General features: G+C 38.1%; 1 protein-coding gene, 1 long non-coding RNA gene and 1 pseudogene across 6 annotated transcripts in view; 2 read left to right on the top strand and 1 right to left on the bottom strand.

Annotated features, from left to right (window-relative positions):
• Positions 1-797, top strand: part of TSHR-AS1 (TSHR antisense RNA 1) — a 156,341-nt gene extending 155,544 nt beyond the window's left edge. For all 3 annotated transcript variants that reach the window (XR_001751022.2, XR_007064290.1, XR_001751018.3), the window contains one exon: positions 459-797. This is a non-coding gene — a long non-coding RNA (TSHR antisense RNA 1). The remainder of the gene's footprint in view (positions 1-458) is intronic.
• The window catches only part of TSHR (thyroid stimulating hormone receptor), a 190,686-nt gene that overhangs the window by 131,444 nt on the left and 44,525 nt on the right, over positions 1-14,717 (bottom strand). The gene's annotated exons all lie outside the window — the stretch shown is intronic.
• RPL17P3 (ribosomal protein L17 pseudogene 3) lies at positions 13,046-13,729 on the top strand (annotated as a pseudogene).

Here is a 14,717-nt window from a genome sequence, read left to right as displayed (position 1 = left end):
CTCACTGCCATTACAGTTGGCCAAAACTATCTGCATGAAGAACCAAGGCTTTGGAAGGCATTTAGGAAATAACTTTCTGAGATTGTGTTCTGCTAACACACCATGACTAATAGCTGCAGGAACTATAGTCAAGTCTCTAAGTTATTTTATGCTTCCTACTTGGTGTGGGAATTCTAGGACAAAGTCTGTTAGCCTTGGTTTGGTTGCCATTCTGCTCCCATTCAATGAAATTGTGGCAAACAAGGCATGTTAAAGAGTCTGGTAGCATTGACCATACAGTGCCATTGTTCAATCAAACTCTCAGGGTTTTTATTGACAGGTCCAGGGGAAAGCCAAACCTGAGATGGAGAAGGGGTGAAATTGGAGAAGGAATCTACTGAAGGCTATTAGTACATTTCAGGCACTCTACTCATCTGTTTGCATATATTATCTCATTCATTTTCTTTTATATCCCCTAGATACAAATTTCCCACCATTCTGGATTCTGACACCCAACAGAAAGACTGTTATTTGGCATCATGTGAATTAGCCAGGAGACCTCTAATTTCCAGCCATTTCCTCTGGTCTGACCCCTAAACTCAGCTCATCTGGTTTCTCGTTTCTGAGGGGACAAACACTTCCTAAAAGGCAGACCCTCTGGGGTTCTGAGGAGACCGTCCCTGACATTGTTTTTACTTCAAGACTACAAGCGAATGAAAAACAGCTACCTCTCACAAGAGGGCTGGAGCCCTTGATACAGAACAGATCTCCAACTGGCTTTTGGACTAAAATAACTGAACCAACAAGATATTTTAGAGGTGATTATTTGTTGCATTTCTCAAATTATGATGAATTTTATAGACCCATATCTCATAGGTATATCTGTCTTAATCCTAAATTAGGGATTAGTACACTTTTTTTTCCCACAAATCATTTTAAGTGTGGAAATAATCCCATAAATCCCATCACCCCATAAGGTTAACTCATCAAAATCCTTTCATCGAGGACTAGGATTATACTCTATCCCAAATCAAGCCAAGTAAATATAGATGATGCCAGACCACTAAACAATGTTTTCTAGAACTCTAAAAGTGCAGAGTAAATATCCCTCCTTGGGCCACATGTGTGGTCTGGTATGAAGAAAGAGCTTTGGAGGATGGAATATAAGCACTAATGCTCACTGGCTGTGGGGTCCAGGTGAGTCACTTACACTCCCAGGAAGTCAGTGCCCAATGTCATGAGAACTTACTAAAGCCCATGGCTCATAACAGAGTATGGTGGACAATAAAGAGTAGCTGTAAATTTTTATTGGCTGGAAAACTCTTAGAGAACAGAGCATGTGTATTTATCTTTGTAGTTTATCATAATGGCACGTACAAATCCTTTATAAACATCTGTTTATTGGAGAAAAAACCTACTTATATGTCTCAAAAATTGTGTACATCTGTTAAGACTTTCCTTGTATTGCCAAGTCAATCCTAAGCCAAAAGAACAAAGCTGGAGGCATCACACTACCTGACTTCAAACTATACTACAAGGCTACAGTAACCAAAACAGCATGGTACTGGCACCAAAACAGAGACATAGATCAATGGAACAGAACAGAGCCCTCAGAAATAACGCCGCATATCTACAACTATCTGATCTTTGACAAACCTGAGAAAAACAAGCAATGAGGAAAGGATTCCCTATTTAATAAATGGTGCTGGGAAAACGGGCTAGCCATATGTAGAAAGCTGAAACTGGATCCCTTCCTTACACCTTATACAAAAATCAATTCAAGATGGATTAAAGACTTAAACGTTAGACCTAAAACCATAAAAACCCTAGAAGAAAACCTAGGCACTACCATTCAGGACATAGGCATGGGCAAGGACTTCATGTCTAAAACACCAAAAGCAATAGCAACAAAAGCCAAAATTGACAAATGGGATCTAATTAAACTAAAGAACTTCTGCACAGCAAAAGAAACTACCATCAGAGTGAACAGGCAACCTACAAAATGGGAGAAAATTTTCGCAACCTAGTCATCTGACAAAGGGCTAATATCCAGAATCTACAATGAACTCAAACAAATTTACAAGAAAAAAACAAACAACCCCATCAAAAAGTGGGCGAAGGACATGAACAGACACTTCTCAAAAGAAGACATTTATGCAGCCAAAAAACACATGAAAAAATGCTCACCATCACTGGCCACCAGAGAAATGCAAATCAAAACCACAATGAGATACCATCTCACACCAGTTAGAATGGCAATCATTAAAAAGTCAGGAAACAACAAGTCCTGGAGAGGATGTGGAGAAATAGGAACACTTTTACACTGTTGGTGGGACTGTAAACTAGTTCAACCATTGTGGAAGTCAGTGTGGCGATTCCTCAGGGATCTAGAACTAGAAATACCATTTGACCCAGCCATCCCATTACTGGGTATATACCCAAAGGACTATAAATCACGCTGCTATAAAGACACATGCACACGTATGTTTATTGCGGCATTATTCACAATAGCAAAGACTTGGAACCAAGCCAAATGTCCAACAATGATAGACTGGATTAAGAAAATGTGGCACATATACACCATGGAATACTATGCAGCCATAAAAAATGATGAGTTCATGTCCTTTGTAGGGACATGGATGAAATTGGAAATCATCATTCTTAGTAAACTATCGCAAGAACAAAAAACCAAACACCGCATATTCTCACTCATAGGTGGGAATTGAACAATGAGAACATATGGACACAGGAAGGGGAACATCACACTCTGGGGACTGTTGTGGGGTGGGGGGAAGGGGGAGGGATAGCATTGGGAGATATACCTAATGCTAGATGACGAGTTAGTGGGTGCAGCGCAGCAGCATGGCACATGTATACATATGTAACTAACCTGCACATTGTGCACATGTGCCCTAAAACTTAAAGTATTATGATAACAAATCAATCAATAAATAAATAAAAAAGATTTTCCTTGTAAAAACTAGATAGGAAAAAGCTTTTATTTATTTATTTATTTATTTATTTTGAGACAGAGTCTCCCTCTGTCGCCAGTCTGGAGTGCAGTGGCGCGATCTCGGCTCACTGCAATCTCCGCAGGAGAAAACACTTAACTCATATTTTCCAGGGGACTTTTTAATGTAATTAAAACAGAAAAATAAAGTTTTTCCTAGTAGTTACTACATATGACTAAAAATTATAATTACTATTCCTTTTAGGCCATAAGTATTGCAGCATAATTTTTAGAACCTGATGAACTAGTATAAAAACTGGTTTGAAAAAACTAATAAAATAGATAAACATGTAGCAAAATTGGTCAAGCAAAAGAAAAGAGAAAGCACGATACATAATTGTACTGGGAATGAAAAAGAAGCGACAACTATAAATACTGTACAAATTTGAAAAAATAACTTAAAAGAATACTGTGAATAGCTTTATCTTCAAAGCTTTTAAAAATTAAAAGAAACTGATGTATCCAAAAAATATAAATGACCAAAATAGAAATAGCAAAGCCTGAACAGACAACTAATAACTGAATAAATTATTATTTTTGTCTATCTATTTTCCCTGTCCCTAAAAATGCACTAACCAGAATGGTTTTACAATTTACCAAACTTTCAAAAACCTGATACTTTTTTTCTTAATCAATTTCAGAAAAAAAAAGAAAGAAGAAAAGAAAGGAAGGAAGGGAAGGAAAAAGAAAAGTGTTTCAATTCATTTTATGAAGCTAGTACAATCTTGACACCAAAACTGGGCCTGGATCGTACAAGAAAGGAAAAACCCAACTCAGTCATGTTAGTTCCTAGCTCCAGCTAATTGAATGCTGTCATCTAGGCCTTTGACTCTCAAGAGAGCGACAGTAAGATACAAGAACAGTGGAGAAGTTTTTCTGGTAGCTATGAAAATGAGAACATGATGGAATTAGTGCTGAGTACCAAGAAGCAGTGATGTCCGTAATGGAGTTCTCAGCAGCGACCTAAAGAATCAGATTTACCCAACTTCAGTTTAAGATAGTTGGGGTGAGTTTCTGTTACCTCCAAATCTAAATATTGACTGATACATCTTACATGTACATCTTTTGGCCATATACCAAAAATATAGCAAATTTCATATTTAATAGGGAAACTCTAGAAGTATTGTCTTTAAGGTTAAGAAGACAGAATGTTGCTATTCAACATTGTACTGGGGTTTCTAATGAATGCAATAAGACAAAAAATAGGAATTAATTTTGAAAAGGGAGAAAAAAATGGTTATTTTAATATATTTTCCTGTAGGGAAAAGCAAGAGAGTTAAGCAATGTTGTTGCATATAAAGATTAATGTACAACCATCCATAGTGCTCATATATACCAGCAAAAAATCATTTAGAAAATGTAAATTTAAAAAGCTCATTAAAAAAGAAAAACAAAAACTATAATATAGTTAAAAATAAATGAAACTCATACAAGATCTCAGTTGAGAAAATTATTAGAGCTGATTGAAAGACAAAATGAAAAGAAACTAGACATATATATGGCTGTTCCGAAATTTAAATTATCTATAGAATAAAAAATTACATAAAGTTAAATGACTAGTATCTAACTTCTTAGTCAATACATATTTAAAAAGTTAAATTAAAAGGCAAGTTATAAACTGGGAAGAGATATTTACTAGTTGCATACCAAAGCATTAATACCCAAGATATATAAAGAACTCTTATGAAGCAATAAAAAGATAAGGCAATAAATAATTTACAGAAAAAGAAGGTAAAGTGAAACAAGAAAAAGCATGAAAAATGCTCAATCTCAGTAGTCATCAGGAAAATGAGAGCAAGAAGAATACTTATCAGATTGGTAAATATTTAAAATGTCTGAGGATATGGTGAGGATATTTGGAAATAGAAATTTTCATTTACTCGGGAGTGAATTCTGCTACAATCACTCCAAAGAGTAATTTGGAACTATCTGGTAAAATTGAAGTTAACTTGTCTTCCAACCCAACAAGTCCTCATCTAGGTATATTCTCCCCCCACAACTGGCACAGTTGACGTACACAAGAATACACAAGGATGTTCAGTCTAGCAACCTTTGCAAGACTCAACTTTGTGGAACAACTTAAAGCTCATCATAGGGGAAATGGATAAACAAATTGTGATTTATTTACATGACAAAATACTAGATAGCCAAAAATATAAACTAGACTACATGCATCAACATTAATTTCTCTTGAATTCACATATGGAGTCAAGAAAGTAAGCTATAGAATGATACAGAAAATATGATACAGTTTAAATAAAATGTTGAAATACAAAACACAGTCCTATGGCATTTGTGGTTGTGGGCAGATATGATAAAACGAAGAGTAAAATGCACATCAACTGCAGCACACTGATAACTCCTGAGGAAGAAAGAGAATGAACATGAAACAAAGAGGAACTCCAGTATGATGTTTTATTTTTTAAAAACACAATGATTACTTTTCCTGGAGGTGGGCGCATAGGGGTATTTATTATAGTTCACTGTGTATCTTTGTGCATTTTAAATATTCCATAATAAAGAAACTGCAATTAATATGCAGTGTAGCCAGTATATGAATCAATGTGGTCTACAAACCAAATGATGATACTGACAAACGTTTTGCCAACTTGGAAACCCTAGAAACTTCATTTTAAAAGATCTTCTCATACATAGGACAAATCATTTGTTTCCTTTTCCACAAATGAAGAGGACATAAAAGCATGATTACATTGACATGATTTTAAAAATCTGAGACTACCGAAGCTATTTTTAGCTGAAGTTATTATTAATACTGAAGCGATTATTAGCTGAAGAGTAAAGAATCACTCTCTCTGAATTAACACTGTAGGCCTCTCCTTTAAAAATGTGGGTGTTTTGACAATGTAATCAAGTTTAATGTGGGTTTAAATTTTATTTTAATTAGCCAGTAAGCAAGAAAATTGTGTGTCTTGTTTGAAGACTGTTTATGGGTAAAATACAATTTCATATTGTATGGGTACATTGCTATATATCATGGACAGATGAGCTTTTATAATCATTAAAAAGGAAATCCTGTTAAAGAACAACAAATTAATGTTCGGGTTATTTAAAGAGAAAAATTTCCATTATTCTTACAGTAATTGGAAACTTTTAAGAATTTCTTAAGGAGAGTATGTTTCAAACTGGTGCAGGAAATAAGAAGTTGGATAAAAAACAGCTAGCAATTCTTCACATTTTAAGGATAATTCACATAGATAAAGCTTAAAGACCTTAATTTCCTTTTGAAATTCATTTATTTTGCCTTATTTTACATATTTATATTGGTAGAATCTCAATGCATGCACTATATGCTAGAATAAGAAATGTAAACTACCTAGAGTTCACGTCCAAGATAAAATCTCTAGTAAATTTTACCTGTTGGTTCTAGAAAATGGTCTACAAAGCCAGGTGCAGTGGCTCACGCCTGTAATCCCAGCACTTTGGGAGGCCAAGGTGGGCAGATCATGAAGTCAGGAGATGGAGACCATCCTGGCTAACAAGGTGAAACTCCGTCTCTACTAAAAATACAAAAAATTAGCCGGGCGTGGTGGGGGGCGCCTGTAGTCCCAGCTAATTGGGAGGCTGAGGCAGAAGAATGGCGTGAACCCGGGAAGCGGAGCTTGCAGTGAGCCGAGATCATGCCACTGCACTCCAGCCTGGGTGACAGAGCGAGACTCCATCTCAAAAAAAAAAAAAAAGAAAGAAAGAAAATGGTCTACAAGTTTGTGTTTGAAGTAACTGATCAGCAATCAACAAAATTATTGAGTATTGCTTTATGACCAACAGTGTCATCATCATCAGTGTTGTTAGGTGAAGAATAGACATACCCCTACTCTCCAACCCTCCACAAGTTTTCAGAATTGAGTCTGGACACAGTGATCTGTCCAAGGCTGATCAATACATAATATGGTGCCAACTTGCAAAAAAGTAGATCATTAAATTGCTACATTCACAATGGTTTTTTGTAGTCCCTCTGTTCAGAAAGAACGCTAAGACGGTTAAAACTAAGGGTTTGAACCTAAGTGATCCTGCTCTCTCACCCTGTTCTGTGAATACAGATTTCCTTTTCAATCAGGACAGTACTTCTCATTGATTATAAGGAACAAACTAGAGATGACTTAGAAATGGACTAATCCAGTCCTGCTGTTTTACAAATAACATGTGAAGTCCTAAACTTCCCATTCTGTAAGTGAGAATACAGTATGGAAAGAAGGAGAAAAGAGTAATATTATGGGAGAAAGTGGAGAAACCTGATAAACAGCATCTCAGCCAGGTGATCAATGTCAACAACATCAGTGATAGGACATGTGGATAGCATGAACCCTTGATACGAAGTGATGAGAATGACATTTCACCTTGCTGGTCTTCCTCTCTAAAACTCATAACCCCAGTCTATTAATGAGAAAAAAAGAGACAAATCCCAATTGAGGGACATTCTACAAAATATCTGGCCAGTACTCTCAAAACTCTCAGGGCCATCAAAAACAAGAAAACTGTAAGACCGTCAGAGTCAAGAGTTGCTCAGGGAGACCTGATGACTATCTTAGTCTACTGGCACAGCAAAATACCACAGACTGAATGGCTTAAGCAGCAGATATTTGTTTCTTACAGTTTTGGAGGTTGGATAGTCTAAGATCAAGGTGTCAGTATAAATCAAGCTCTGGTTTCTCTTCCTCTTCTTATAGGACACTAATCCTCATGACCTCATATAAATCTAATTCCCTCCAAAGACCCCATCTCCAGATAGCATCACATTAGGGTTAGAACTTCAACGTGAATTTTGAGAGGACGCAAACATTTAAATACATAACAGTGACAAAATGTAATGTGGTATCCTGGATAGCATCTGGGACTGAAAAAGTTTGTTAGGTGAAAATGAAGGAAATCTAAATAAGATATGGACTTCAGTTAATAATAATGTATCAATATTTGTTTATTGATTGTGATAAATATACTAATGTAAAGCATTAATAATAAGGTGTTAGGGGCTAACTTGTGTCCCCATCCAAATTTATATATTGGAGTCCTAACCCCAGTACCTCAGAAAGTGACTATATTTGGGGCCAGGAATGTTAACTCACGCCTGTAATCCCAGCACCTTGGGAGACCGAGGCGGGGAGATCACGAGGTCAGGAGATGCAGACCATCCTGGGCAACATGGTGAAACCCCATTTCTACTAAAAAAATACAAAAATTAGCTGGGCATGGTGGTGTGTGCCTGTAATCCCAGCTATTCGGGAGGCTGAGGCAGGAGAATTGCTTGAACCAGGGAGTTGGAGGTTGCAGTGAGCCAAGATTGCACCACTGCGCTCTCGCCTGGTGACAGAGCAAGACTCAGATTAAAAAAAAAAAAATTGACTATATTTGGAAATAGGGCCCTGAAAGAGGTAGTTTAGTTAAAATGAGGTCATTGGGGTGGGCCCTAATCCAAATTGACTGGTGTCCTTGATAAGAAGAGGAGATCAGGACAGAGACAAAACCATGTGAGAACACAGCAAGAAGGAGGCCATGGGCAAGACAAGGAGAGATGCCCCAGAAAAGCCTCTTGATCTTGGTCTACACCTTGATCTTGGACTTATAGCCTCCAGAACTGAGAGAAAATAAACTGTTGTTGTTTAAGCCACCCAGTCTGTGGGGCTTTGTGACAGCAGCACTAGCAAGCGAATACATAGGGGAAAATGCGTGTAAAGTATATGGGAACTACCTGGACCATCTTCACAACTTTTTTTAAAACCTAAAACTGTTCTAAAACAGAAAGTTTATTTTAAAGGCATGAAGCCCAAAGAGGTTAAGCAAGGTAAGATAATACATGAGTCAAAAATACCATTGTGAAGCCCAGTTATGCCTTTTACTGTGTGGGCAAGTCATTTACTCTCTTTAAGATTTTGCTCATTTATGATATAAAATTAAGGGCTAGTATCAGCCATGCTTATTTCTTAGGGTTAGTATCATATCAGTGGAATTAATATTAAATACATGCAAAAGCAATTTAATCAAAGGACCCGTTACTATTAAATGTTTTGTTCAAGGCCCATCGCTATTTTAAGCAGAGGTCAAATTATTTAGAACTTTTATCTGCTGTTAATCCAGTCCTCCTTTCATCACTCCTTACTGACGTCATACCCGAAAACTTCAGTAGCTCCGCGGTTCCAAGAACACATTAGTCAGATTATAACCTGTGGTGGCAGTCTGCTTTCCTAATTAGAATTAGCCATCTCAAAACTGCAAATGCTTGTCTTGAATGGCATCCTGGGGGATATGACATTCAGACAACACCACAGCTTGAGAAGCAACCCTGTGAACAATATTGATTGTGGATCAATATTTTTCCTGTATATGAAAGAAAATATGTTTTTCTACTAAGTATGATACTTTATGGCAGGTCTCCAAAATACAGTATCCAAGGTAATATACTGGGGAGTGCAGAAAAATATTAGAACTTTCTCTTATAATTTTAAAAATTCATGCTTTTTGAATTTATGTTTTTGTGTGTTTGTTTTATAATTTACATAGTATATTATACAGTAATATGTGCCTATAAAACATGCATAAATACACATATATTTCAGAGTGCCAATATATTTTAGAGTGCTGATTGAGAGTACACACACAGAGATACACGTGCGTGCGTGCACACACACACACACACACACACACACACACACACACACACACAAAGGCTTGAGTCCCCTTCATGAGAAGGCAGGAGAAACAGGACCAGTGCATAGACAAGTACAAATTGGATTTGTAGTCTTTTTCCCTTAAATATTATAGGAGAGAAAAGGAACATATTTTCATCTCCAGAGATGTTTTCAAACTCTAGGCTCTGCTGCATATTGGTTAAGTGCCTTGCAATAATCACTCAATCTCTTTATGCCCCAGTTCCCTCACCCTTAAGGTGGGGATTCCTAACAGTGCCTTCCTCATATTATATTTCCCAGGTAGGAGAGAAATGAGGAGAAAACCATGAGTATCCAAGGATGGAAACTTTCTTAATCAGAAGGCCATGTGGTTGTTAACACCTGTGGGGCATCCTGCTCATACATATGTTTTTCCTTGTTTAAATAAACCATGAATATGACTTCCAGTATTTCTGAGTCAGCAAATCAAAGAGTGAGGGGCAGGCAGGCTATTGTGACAGACTTTGTGGAGTGAGCTGGCAGCAATGACCATGGCGGTTGCTGGGACCATTGTGACCAGGAAACAGAGTAACTGGAGAGGGACATAAACTGGGCCCAGTACCACTACTACCCCTCTGCTACCTAACTGTCTTTGGTAAATAAATAGATTTTTGTATACATTGCTACAGATGGGCATTTGCCTGATGAAAGGGAGTATGGAGGACACTCCAGGCAAGGGGAATAGTATGTGCAGTGTCAATGGAGGTGTGAAAATACATGGAGCATTAAGGGCTTTTGAGGGTTCCAAGTTCATGTAAATGTGAGTGCCAAATCAGTGAACCATGCTTATTTGAGCCACAGCTGTGTGCTTTATGTATAGTACATGTCTAAGAAATATTCAGTATTGTCTTGATAACTGAGTAGAACATATAGGAGATATCAGAATCACCTTCTTGGGAGCATTTTCTTTGGCAGATTACAATCCCTGCCTTTAAGGGTTTTGGTACACAACCTCTGAAGTGCTATCTATTGACCCACCGGGGTCGGGAGAGGGGAGACGAGTAAAGTGCTATTATTTGAGGTCAGGGTGTTTTAAACTGCAAATTGTAACCCATTGGTAGATTGTAAAATCAATTTAGGGTATCATAACCATAATTTTAGAAAAGTGAAATGAAATAAAATAGAGCACAGATGTACATAAACATGTCTATATCCCAGGGCACAATGTAAAATATATTTTATACCATGGGTTATGGGCAAAAAGGTCAAGCCACTGGTCTACATGATAGTTAGTACAAGCCCTTAGTAAATCAGTAGGCAGGTTCTGGCGATGTTACTAAAAACAAATTGGCGGGATTTAGTGACTGATTGAATGTGGAAGTTAAAGACGAATGAAGATTCAACATTTCTGGCCTAAGCTAATAGGTGAAGTGTGCAAAGCCATTAAAGCTGAGATTAAAAATGAAAAAACATACATGTTGTGAGATTACTTTGGGGGCTGGAATGGGGGTTAGGGGCAGGATGTCAGGGAGAAGATCATACAATTTGTTGGGATATATTACATTTGAGATTCTTGCAGGTCATCCAAGTGGAGATGGATCTGTGAAAATGGTTTGCTATTCACTCGACCCAGAAAACCCCTCAAAATCAGGCAAATCAAGAGTTTCAAATATTTGTGTTTCCTTTAAGAACACTTGTGAAACTGCCCAGGCCATCAAGGGTGTGCATATATGAAAAGCCACCAAGTATCCGAAAGATGTCACTTCACAAAAACAGCGTGCACCATTCTGACATTACAATGGGGGAATTGGTAGTGCCCAGGTCAAGTGGTGGGGCTGGACACAGGAGGCAAATAGGAAATGTAGTCTGAAGCACAAGGAAGAGGTCAGGGCTAATGATAAAATGTGGCAGTCATTATTATCCAGGTGATAGCTGACACTTTAAATTGGATGAGATTTTTCTAAGGAGCATGTGTACTGTACAAAAAGGACAAAGGATGAAACACCTGGGGAGGTCAACCTTTAATGAGCGAGTCACCGGAGCAGTAGAATGAAAATGAAGTAGAAGGAGAACTGAGTCTATTTGTCACAGAAATATTATATGTTGCAGAAATAACAGCACAAAAGAAACTAAACAGCAGTCTTTTAAACTGGCAGTTAAGAGGCATTAGCAAACACCGCATATTCTCACTCATAGGTGGGAATTGAACAATGAGATCACATGGACACAGGAAGGGGAATATCACACTCTGGGGACTGTGGTGGGGTCGGGGGAGGGGGGAGGGATAGCATTGGGAGATATACCTAATGCTAGATGACACGTTAGTGGGTGCAGCGCACCAGCATGGCACATGTATACATATGTAACTAACCTGCACAATGTGCACATGTACCCTAAAACTTAAAGTATAATAATAATAATAAAAAAAGAAAAAAAAAAAAAAGATAAAAAAAAAAAAAAAAAAAAAAAAAAGAGGCATTAGGGACCTTAATGAGAGAAATTACCATGGAGTTGAGAAATAGGATAGCAAACCAGATTTCAGCCAGTTGAAGAGTAGTCAATGGTAACTAATGACAAATGGTTTTCTGTTTATGGCATGAGTGGAAGAAAATGGATAGAGGGTTAACTATGGAGGGAATAGGGCGAAGAGCAGGGATTTTATAATTGGGACATTAGGTAATATTTTTGGGTAGAGTGAAGGATTAAGGTTGATGATAATAGCAAACCTATAGTGCTTACTATGTGCTAGAGATTACTGTAAGCACTTTACATAGATTAACTCAATTAAATCTTCACAACAACATTGAGATAGGTAATACTATTATCCCTATTTTACAAATGGGGAAACTGAAGCACAGACGGGTTAAGTAAACAGAGCAAAATCACACACAACTGATATTTAGAGATAGGATTTGAATTCAGCTTGGGTTACCAGAGTCTATACTCTTTTACACTTAGCTGGAAAGAGAAAGATGTAGGAAAACAGGAAATAAAGGGCTATAATCCCTTACCCAGAAACTTTTGGGGCCAGATGTATTTCAGAATTCAAAAATTTTCAGATTTTAGAAAGGTAATATACATATGTTTGATTATACTCAAGCAGGAACTGGGGCTGTACTTTAAAACAATCCCATTGATAATTGATATTTTTATAGTAAATATGTGAGTAAATAAAGATGATATCACCTCATGTCAGTTTGGGCCAAATTCTGCTGCAATGTAGGTTGCCAAAAACTTTCAATGTTCAGAGCTGTTTGAATTTTGGACTTGTGTTTAAGGAACTGTGTTTCTGCAATAGCCAAGTGTGTCTTAGAAGGGGAGGAAGAAAAATGAATGACGGTGAAAGATTGGTGAAAGGAACATCTGTTCCTTTGTGAAAAGAGAAGGCAGGCAAAAGCAAGATCAAGAAAGTTAGTCCCGCTCTTCCCCTAAGTGGCCTGAGGTGATCTGTGAAAATAGTTTTCTGTTCACTCGACCCAGAAAACCCCTCAAAATCAGGCAAATCAAGAATTTCAAATAGTTGTGTTTCCTGTAAGAACACTCGTGAAACTGCCCAGGCCAACAAGGGTGTGCCTGTACGAAAAGCCACCAAGTATCTGAAAGATGTCACTTCACAGAAACAGTGTGTACCATTCTGACGTTACAATGGGGGAGTTGGTAGTGCCCAGGCCAAGCAGTGGGGCTGGACACAGGGTTGGTGGCCCAAAATGAGTGCTGAATTTTTGCTGCACATGTTTATAAATGCTGAGAGAAATGCCGAACTTAAGGGTGTAGATGTAGATTCTCAGGTCATTGAGCATACCCAGGTAAATAAAGCACCTAAGATTTGCTACTGGCCTTATAGAGCTCATGGTCGGATTAACCCATGCATGTACTCTCCCTGCCACATCAAGATGATCCTTACTGAAAAGGAACAAATTTTTCCTAAACCTGAAGAGAAGTAATCTGGAACAATCTGTTCCTTTTCAGTAAGGATTCAGTAAGTTTCTTTTGTGCTGATATTGCTGCAACATATGATATTTCTGTTGTACATAAGGAAAAAAAAGATATCTCAAAAGAAACTGAAGAAACAAAAACTTACGGCATGGGAATAAATTCAGCATAAAATAAATGCAATTAAGAGTTAAAAAAAAATAAAAGTTAGTTCTCAGCTTCTCACTCCCAACTCCCACAAAGAAGTACTGTTCTGTGTTCTCATCAAAGGCCAGATGTCAGACCTACCTCACCATCTTTCCCTTAAGGCCTAGAATCGCCTGTCCTTGTTTTTCCTTGAAAAGTTGGTGCATTTTACTCAGCCCACAGGCAGCATCTGCAGGTGATTCTGCCTCTCCCTGCCAGCTGTAAGTGAGACAGAATGGGAGAGAGATTGAGAGACAGAGGCTGCCACTGGAGAGATCCTCTATAGACCCCACTTCCCTTTTGCAACTAGCAATATTCCCCTCTTAATTAATTCATTAGCTACCCAGCAAGGGAAAAACAAACCTTAGAAAACTGTTAAAGCATTGGAGAGTGCTTAAGGGATAAGTGAAACAAAACTGGAAGATTTTGTCATGACCCCTGAGGAAGAGAGAATAGGAGGAGAGAGAGAGAATGAGTACGAAGAGGCTATGAATCAGGCTGACGTGGAGGGAAAGAGAGAATGGGAGTCTGACTGCGACCCATGAAGACTGAGGAGTATACCCCAGTGGTAGGCAGGCTTTATTCCAGAAGCTCTGTAGCATCTATCACTGCATCTTAACCTTCCCAGCCACCACCAGATTCAGGCCACAAGGATCCCAGTTTTCTTTATTCAGCAGATGTGGGGCCGGGGATCCTTAACTCAATTGGATAGAGAATAAAAGCATGAAAATATTCCTGGTGTTCCCAGCAGTGATCCTGGTCATCCGAATCCAGAAAAACATTGTTAAACATCGTGCTAGATGTCAAAATATTTCTCGTGGTGCTTATGGTACATGTTAAGTTAAAGAACCGGAAATGACATTCTGGTTTACAATGTCAGTTGTCTTAGGAGTTAAAAATTTTGGCCGGGTGCGGTGGCTCACGCCTGTAATCCCAGCACTTTGAGAGGCCAAGGCGGGCGGATTGCCTGAGCTCAGGAGTTCGAGACC

Source organism: Homo sapiens, chromosome 14, assembly GCF_000001405.40.
Source record: "Homo sapiens chromosome 14, GRCh38.p14 Primary Assembly".
In the NCBI taxonomy this organism is placed as follows: domain Eukaryota; kingdom Metazoa; phylum Chordata; class Mammalia; order Primates; family Hominidae; genus Homo; species Homo sapiens.
The sequence above is the reverse complement of the archived record's forward strand: the minus strand, read 5'-3'. Positions and strand labels throughout refer to the sequence as shown.